This window comes from Homo sapiens, chromosome 8, assembly GCF_000001405.40.
Source record: "Homo sapiens chromosome 8, GRCh38.p14 Primary Assembly".
NCBI lineage: Eukaryota > Metazoa > Chordata > Mammalia > Primates > Hominidae > Homo > Homo sapiens.
In genome coordinates this window covers 96,164,263-96,173,501 of record NC_000008.11, presented here as the reverse complement: position 1 = coordinate 96,173,501, position 9,239 = coordinate 96,164,263, and the positions used below count along the sequence as shown (strand labels likewise).

Genomic DNA, 9,239 nt, shown 5'->3' with positions numbered 1-9,239 from the left:
AAGAGGAAACTGGGAGAAACATCATCCTCCAAGAATCCCCAGAAATACCAAGGCCAGGAAGAATACCAGTTTTCCCACTTACGTGGGATAGAAGCTCCAGACACTTTAAAGTGAAAGATTAAAGAAATATTGAGGTGGCAAGATTGACCGGCACCCACACATGCTTGGCCCTTGAGTCATGCTACTCTCTCAGGCACTCTGCTAGCGTTTTCCCACAGGCTTTTAAATCAACTTATCAACTGCCTGGTTCAAAAGCATGTTAGTGTACCCTGAGGCTAACTGGTCTGGATTGAGTTTTTCTAAACCAATAAGTTTCAAGAACAGTGATTCGATGGGGGCAGGAGAAGAGGACAAGAAATAACCAGGTTAAGTTTGCTGTCTGTGTATTTTAGTTTTATAAAAGAGAGTCTCAAATGAAAAAAAAATCACATTGAACAGTTGCCATGAAGATCTTCTTCAGTTCTTTGTGGGAGGGAATGGCAGCTTGAATTAATTGGCCTCAGTTATTGGTTTTCTTTCATCTCCAGCCATTTTATAAGAAAGATAACCACAGGACTGTAGTAATTATAGAGTCATCAGAGTGATTTGCCAAAGGTAAACCTAGCTGGCGGAGTACTAGGGATTCTGTAAACATTTTGTCAGTTTGCACATTTTGCAGACAACTTTTAAGGAAACATCAGTTTGTTTAACGGGCTTCTTTGGGTGAGCTCTGTCCTCAGAGACACTGACTGTAGCTTTTAATCCCTCTTTCATTTAAGCTGATGCTGTTAATATTTTTCAGCCATCAATCATGTGGCCAATGCAACCTGTCCTGGTGGAAATTTGGAGGCTATGGTCAGGGCTCTGATCTGGCCAGCCAGCCAGAGTAATCATTTCCTGGAAAATGGTAGCAATGAGCAGCCTCTGCCTGCAGCTACACTTTTCCCTCACTCCTTTGTCCCGGCTCTTTTGCCTGCAATGTAACGTGGCTAAAGCAGATGAGTATCCCAGGGAGGATAAATAGAAAAGGCCATTATTAGTGAAACCATTTATTCCAAAGGAATTAAGAAGGTTGTTCCTCACAAATTTTCTAGCTATATATCTAACCATGCTAAAAAGTGTTAGAGAACAATTCTAAAGAAATTTTTTTTAAAAAAATTAACCACATCTCTAGTAAGAATTTTATGGACAACCCACAACACATACACACACACACACACACACACACACACAGAGAGAGAGACGTACCACTGAAATTTTCCAATAGAATGTTTGTACTATGTTCAAGGTATTCTGATCCATTCCATTCCATTCCATTCCATTCCATTCCATTCCATTCCATTCCATTCTATTCTTTCTGTTCTGTTTTATTCTATTCCATTCTTTCACTTCAAAAAAATCTGTGGTCATTATTCATTACTCTGATATCATAACCCACTACTATGTCACAACCCACAGTTTGTGAAACACTGCAATCGAGAGCATTTGGCATTGCATCACCACATTGAAATTGTCCATTTGTTTTCAATCCAGCATGCCTGGATAGTGATTAGAAGGCATCGGTTGTAAGCTCTGCTCTCTCATCAGTACCCCCAATCTTTTTTAAAATCTGTTTAGTCATCCTGCAAAAACTCACTGTGAACTTCATGAAGTTCATGAACACCCACCCTTTTATTACCTGGTTGAATGGTAGTCAGGAGACATGGCTTTTCATCCCAGCTCTGTCACTAACTGTGAGACTCTGCACAGAACCTGACCCTGAGCATCATTCCTCTCATCTGTAAAATCATAATATTACTAACAGTAAGATGTTTCTATGTGACAGTCAGTATTCAGAGGGTTTTACATGCATTAGTTCATTTTATCCTCACTGCAAACTTGTGAGTTAGATGGCATGTTGACCCCACATTATAGAAGGGGTTAAGAACAGAAAACATTCTGTAAGATGCCAAGACTGTATAGCTGCAATGGTAGCGGCAGGATTTGTGCTTGGGCAGCTTGAACCATTATTCGACACTGCCTATTTTGAGCCAATTATACTGGGTGATCTCTTAGGACTTTCTAAGATCTGACTTTCTGTGATTCTTCTTGTCACAGTGGTTAGGAGTTTCTCAAAATGTAGTCTCACTAAATTTTCCTGCCTATGGTTCTTTTGGGAGAGTTCTGTGCTACATGGCTCTACAGAACTGTTACTTTACTAGGATAAACCCCAACCAATGCTTCTTACTCTAGGAAGAGATGTATGTATGTGCAGAGGTGGTTGGAGAACATGGAAGGCAGAAGAGCTGATAAACTCACTCAAGGGTTTAATTTTTCTTCTTTATCTTTCAGATCCACATACGCCCATTCTGCAGGACACATTAGGAGCTAGGGCGGGGTGTGGTGGTGGTGCCATGAAACGTGTCTGTTACAGTTAGGTGCAGATGGTGGAGAGGAGGCAGGCAGGCCAGCCTTCCACATGAGGCACATGTGTTTGCAGAACATAGGTGGCAAGAAAACACATGCAGATTTAGAAGGATCCACAACATCATGCGGCTCAATTGCCAGATCTCTGCTTAGAAGTAAGGGGAGATGAAGTTAGGGCTAGAATGTATTGGCCGCAGTAGATGCATTGGCTCATGCCTCTAATCTCAGCTACTCCAGAGGTTGATGCAGGAAGATCACTTAAGGCAAGGAGTTTGAGACCAGCCTGGGCAACATAGCAAGACCCTGTCTCTAACAAACAAACAAACAAAACCTAAAGAAGACCTTGAGTGCCAATAGAAGCCAAAATGTTTATGGAAGAGGCTTATAGTGTTAAAATTATAATTTCAGATATTATTAATTTATATTACACTCCTAAAGTGATAGTCTTGGCAAGTTACATACTGCCTAATATTGCTAAGATATGAGCTAACTGCTAAGAGAGGGTCAAACTGAATCCATGGCAGCCATATGAACCTTCAAAAAATGCAGCAAGGGAATTGTAGTGTTGGCTACACTACACCCAACCATAAAAACACACCAATACAAGGAAGGAATCTGTATTTATTTGATGCCATATTTAAACAAATACCAAATAATAAAATCCTTATGGGACAGATAGGGTTTAAAAAAATTTTTTTCCCCTTTCAGGGCCACTGTGGGAAAATAAATCTATCAAGGGCCACATTTAAATAAAAGGAAAAGTAGATTAGTTTTAACTGGTAGGATTTTTTTTTTAGAGGAAAATATAAAGTTCAATTCATTTGGTCCTTAAATTAGGGTCAATGTGAATGGAAAGTTTTAAAATGTGCTTCAGTCCCAGATGTTAGCTAGTTAGAGGAGAAAGGATAGGAAGAGAGCTGGAATGAGGAAGAGAAAAAGAAAAGGCTGGGAGAAAGAAGAGGAGGCGGGAATGAAAAGAGGGAGGAAGATGGAGAAAAACCAGTAGTGGAGAGGAAGAGAGCCAGTCTCTGAGCAGAGAAGAAAGAGAGCAAATGATGAGAGAGGCCCTGCTGAATTGGAAAGACTCAGGGAGCCAGGGAAGTGAAAATAACAGGAGGCAAACTCCTAACTCGTCCCTTGTTATTTTCTTTAAATTGCTAATGGGTGGATTCACCACTGTTTCTGCAACTCTGATTGTTCTTTAATATTAAAATGTTAGCATTCTCAATAATTAGAAATGCACTAACCTCCACCTCAGTGACTTTTTTCTACAGTGAGAATGTGTAGAGGCCAAAACTAGAACATTCCCGAAAGTGGATTAAAAGAACCCATGGCTTTATCTGAAATCTGTCTAGATTAGGTTGTGTAAGTTCCTTTATGGGAGGGCATTACGTTGAACAAATAAAGTCTTGTTGAAACACCTAAAGCAGACAGAAAAAGGAAAAATTGGTCATGAGTTCATAATAGTCTTCAAGTAAGCAAATTGCTCTATATGGATTATAATTCCTGTTGTCCTTGCTGTGCAGGAGATAGAGGAGGACAAGAGAAAGCGAAGGTCAATTCATTTCGACACAGATACTTAAATAGATGATATAGATTGATAACTATGTCATGTGTGCCTCACCCAGTGGGATATACCTAACAGCATTTAAAGTATGTAAATACCTGTATTTGACACCTGTAAATATCAAGTACCTGAATATCTCTACATCATGCTTACCCAGCCCAGAGGGGAATAGCTAAAAGTATGTAAAGCATGAAAATTATCCTCACAGTCCTCAAATTTTTTGGAAAGGAAGGACATTCAAATGGATACTCTTTGGAGAACAGTACAGGAAAAAGTGCTGGTGTTCTAAAAAGAGTCCTGGATTCATGATTGGGAGCTGGGGCTCTCAACTTGATGAACTACACAAGCCTCAGTAAGTCTCTTACCAGTTTCTGCAGCCATAGTTCTTCATCTCTAAAAGAAAGGGCTGGACCATGTGATTTTTATAGTCCTGTCCTGCCTTTGCGAGCTATGATTGTAACATGTACACTGTAAATGTGGCAAGATTCCAAGAAAGGAATACAGCCACATAAACATATGGGACTGTCATTGTGCCTGGATCACCACCACCACCATTCAGACATCATGATTTTTGACCTGAATACTTTTTTGGTATTCAAGAATATTTTATTGAAATACATGTATTTCTTGAAAGCTTAAGCCTGGAATCAATTTACTCTTGGAGAGGTAGATATTAGGCATTAATTGACGTTTAGCCAAGAGAAAGACACACTGGGAACATGATGATTCTGGAAAGAGAAGGCAAGGAGGAAAAATATAAATTTTAACTATTTCAGAATTTTTCTTCCTTGGAGGCCTGTTAAACATTGGAATAGGCACACCAGGAACTTATAGAATCAACTTTTCATATGGTGCTTTAAAATCTCCTTCACAGGGAGGGATAGCGTTAGGAGAAATACCTAATGTAGATGACGGGTTGATAGGTGCAGCAAACCACCATGGCACGTGTATACCTATGTAACAACCCTGCACGTTCTGCACATGTATCCCAGAGCTTAAAGTATGATAATAAAAAAATAAAAAATTTAAAAAAACTCCCTCACATATTAGTCCTTTAATAAAATAGCTTAGCAAATTCTAATCTTTACTGAAACAGTCTTATCTAAGGAAAAAAATAAAGTGAGAAATTCAGGATGGCTCACATGATACAGCTGGAGAGGTAGAGGCAAAAGGACTAATAAAACATTCCCCTTGACATTTCTGTAAATAAACAAAAAACCACACTCAGTTATGCTTATTAACAAAGTCTATGCAGTGAAATGAAAAAGCCAAAATTGTCAACAAAGCTGTCTAAAAAAGTTTTGTCTTTAAGCATATATTTTGCAAGTGGATTTTTTTGGAAAATTTTTATTATATGTGTACTTTTTATTGTAGTCAAATAGATACAATGTAAAGTTGACTATCTTAACCATTTTTAAAGTGTACAGTTCCGTGCCTTAGGTACATTCACCCTGTTGTGCAACCAACAGTTCTGTCCGTCTTCAGAACTTTTTCATCTTCCCAAATTGAAACTTTGTACTCATTAAATACGAATTCCCCATTTCCTCCTCCTGCAGCCCCTGGCAACCACTATCCTACTTTCCATCTCTGTACTTTGTATTTAAGATCAACTTATTATAACTTGCAGCTGTTGATATTTCATAATCTTAGCACTTGAGAAGAAAAGTCATGGAAAGGTTTTTTGAGAAAGGTAGGGTTTATCCTGACTTTTCAAACTCTTAAATCCCATAGTTACTCGTTTCAAAATAAAGTTTCAACCATTTCTAAGACTTAAAGTATTTATTTAATTAATTCTAAATAAATAGGCAACAAATGTGTGGGTTTTTTTTAATTCCTAGAAACAGACACATCGAAGTACTATTTTAAAAAAGCACATACAATTGTTACATCAATCATTTTTATTTGAGTAGAACATATTGAAACTACTCCACACAGGCATATGCCCTAAATATTAACATAAAATATAGGAAATTTTAAAATTATCGAGAAAGGATTTGACACATTTGATTGAAAGTTAATTGCTCTTTTCCTTTTCTCTCATGAGTAAAACCTGGTAAATTAACTAATAGACAAGACAGCAATAAACAACAGATACTGTTATCATTTTGTTAATACTATTTAGAGCTCTGAAGTAAAAATAGATTATGATAAATTGATAGTAAATGTGACATTCTCAGTGTATGTAAATAAACCCTGAATTTGAGAACCCTGTTTTCCCAGAGCCCTAGTAAATACACTTTTAATAGAGATCTCATGTAAAGTAGCCATATGCTTATAATTATCCAAACATTGTAGATCCCCTGTGTGAAATTTCACATCTTTATTGCTTCTATTTTAATGTTTACAAAGTTGGTAGTAATTTTTCAAACCAAATCTGATCCTAAACAGGAAAGACAATTTCCTATATGATTGTTATTCTCTATGCTAGATTTGGCAACGATCAAATCTTTCCTAGAATTTAATCATCTTTACTCTCATAAGCATCCTAGACGCTCATTTGAGAAGGCACTTCGTCTGTTCAATTTAAGTATCCCAATACCTATTAGCAAACTGCAATGTGTTTTTAATCTAGAATATTTGGACAAACATAAAACATGTCAAATCATTACAGAAGAAAAGTATTGCCCCAAATTCACAGTGAAATAGAGGAAAAACTCGCTGTGTCAAACAAACAGCCATTTTAGAGAAGTTACTTAACGAAAAAAAAAATTTAAGAGAATATAAAAGCGAGTTAAACTAAAAATTTTAAAGTGTAACTCCAAAATGAAAGTATCAAGATTGAGAACTACTAAAATTAAAGAATTCTTCAACATTTAAAAAATCCAAATAATTGACTAATTAATAATCACCATATTTACTTACATCTGTGGTAAGAATTTACATATGTTATTGTATAGTCTGCACAAAAAACTTAGAGGGACATATTTTCACCTCTGTTTGAGGTGACAAAACTCACAGTAGAAGATTTTGAATTCACGTAGCTAGGAAGTGACGGAGCTGAGATCCGAACCCATGGCTCTAAGCCCCTCATTTAACATCCAGAGTGTATAAGAAGATGTCTGCAGTCAACTTCATTCTGATGACGTTTCTGTCTTTCTTTCAGATTATAAACAGGCCCAATTTCACTTACTTTTAGAGATCAAGCCAGATTAGCTACATTTGGCCTGGTATGGCTGTAGGCAATTAAATACACGTGGTTCACATGGAGAATGAAAATTATTTGCTCATTAGGAATGAGAATCATTAATTTGAAAATAAAATTGCATACTATGCATTTCCTTTACAGCTTTCCCTTTAAAATCAAAGCGTTTCTTGAAGTTCTTGGCAGGTAACTTGCCCCTGTTTCATGGTGTAGGCCAGAGGGGCTCAAATCTTGGTGTTCATCAGAGTTCCTTCAGGGCTTGTCAAAACACAGATTGCTGGGCCTTAGCAACAGAGTTTCTGATTCTGAATCTGGGTGAGGCCTAAGAATTAGCATTTCTAACAAGTTTTCAGGTGATGCTGATACACGCTGCTTGAGGGGCCACACTTTGAGAACCACTGGTGTTGGCAAACTACAAGATGGTTGGACATCTATGTGCCCTGCAGTGGAACCAAAGAAGGGCAGTGACTGGGTTGCTTTGATTTCCCCCCCGTGAGTGTTGGTGCTTCTTTCAACATCCAGAACTAAAATGCCAATTCCTACCAATCTCAGTGCTGTCATTCTGGTGGCACGCATGGGACCAACTGAATCTCTGATTTGCCTTTCACTGAGACCCCGTTCAGCTGATGGTGGGGGGACGCTGAGACCCAGAGTATTCTGTCATCTGGCACAACTCGTTTCACTTAACTTCTCTGTAAATTATTCTGCCAAGGAAACAAATAAATAAACAAAAGAAATGGAATAATCAGTCTCAATATAAATTAGGGAAAACAGAGGGTATTAATAGGGCTGGTACCTCCCAGTCTAAGAGATAAAGGAGAAGCTGTATTTTGTGTGTATCTGTCACAGGTTTTTTTTGGTTTTTTTTTTTTTTGCCTCTTCTTCCACTTTCCTGAAGCAGAGTCTTTAGCTTTCCTCCTGCTGCTCAAGACTTCACGCATTTTTCACCCTGACCACCCTCTGAGGAACACTACCCAGTACTCTAAGCCAATAGCTTTCATTTTCTTTTCTTTTTTTGAGGGATCTTTTTGCAGATGAAATTTTATGAGACTGTCTAAAACAGATAAAAGCAGGACTGCTCAGGCTGAAGCAAGTGTGGGTAACCTGAGGTGCACCTGATTGGTTTCTTCCTTATTCTTGCCAGAGGCTCTAGGAGTGCAAAGGAACAGAATTTAAAACCCAGCCCTTTCTGTCTTCTTATAATCAAAATCCACCAATCTTAAGTCTCATTACTTTTAGACCAAATAGGTGTCAGCTAGCCAGTCTTACAGGATTATTAGTTTATTTGGAATAGTCTAATAGTGGTAGTAAAATACGAATAGGGATCCTACTAGATAATGTTTGTGTTTCAACAGGGGTCTTATAAAGAAAGTACCTTAAAGAAGTGACTTTATTTTTGCAAAATTTCAGGTGCTAAGACATCTTTCTAGAGTATATTTCCAGAGCCCCTTAAAGTATGGTTACTTCACAGCTAGGTGGAGTCCATACCAAAGTCCAACATCCTCAGTCATTGTTATAAAAGTTGTCTTTGGAGTGACACCTGAATGAAAAATGAAATAACAAAAGATATAAAGTCTTCTACTTATTTAAGAGAATCTTCTCTCCCTAGATTATTGTAAAATAATAATTTTAAAACAATACCAGCACCGATTTGAGATAATAACAGGATAATTCTATTTGCTTTTGGTCCTGTATCTCTGGGTGGACAGATCTCTCATTTATGGATGTTTTGTTGCCAAATGATACACATACCTTAGACATGACTCTCTGATTTCTTAAAATTATGTTAATAGATGCCACTATCCCTTGCTCAACTTTGAAAGTGCCTGTAAGCATGCTCCTGTCCAGTATTGTTTTGGTTCTCCACAGGTAACTCCGTCGGCGTCCACAGGGGGGCAGGAGATACCATACTGCACAGTTGTACGTCTTCCATCTGTTTGGTGTAGAAAAATCTAACCACTACAAGAATGCCACGGTGCTCACATCAGACCTTCTCAATGCATCTCAAGAAACTTTCACTTTTCTAACATTTTTCACAGATAAAGTTGTTTAAGATTACTAGAACATCTAAGATTAGATCGAAAATTTAAATTCTATAGCACTAGTTCAAAGACTCAAAATGTTCCCTGAAGAGATCTTAAAAGC

The 9,239-nt window shown here is 37.7% G+C and overlaps 1 long non-coding RNA gene across 1 annotated transcript; it reads right to left on the bottom strand.

The window, feature by feature from the left end:
• Positions 1-5,832: 5,832 nt before the first annotated feature.
• Positions 5,833-8,634, bottom strand: LOC124901984 (uncharacterized). The gene is made up of 2 exons (XR_007061017.1): positions 8,470-8,634; positions 5,833-7,798 (listed from the first exon to the last, which is right to left on the bottom strand). It is a non-coding gene; the product is annotated as an uncharacterized LOC124901984 (long non-coding RNA).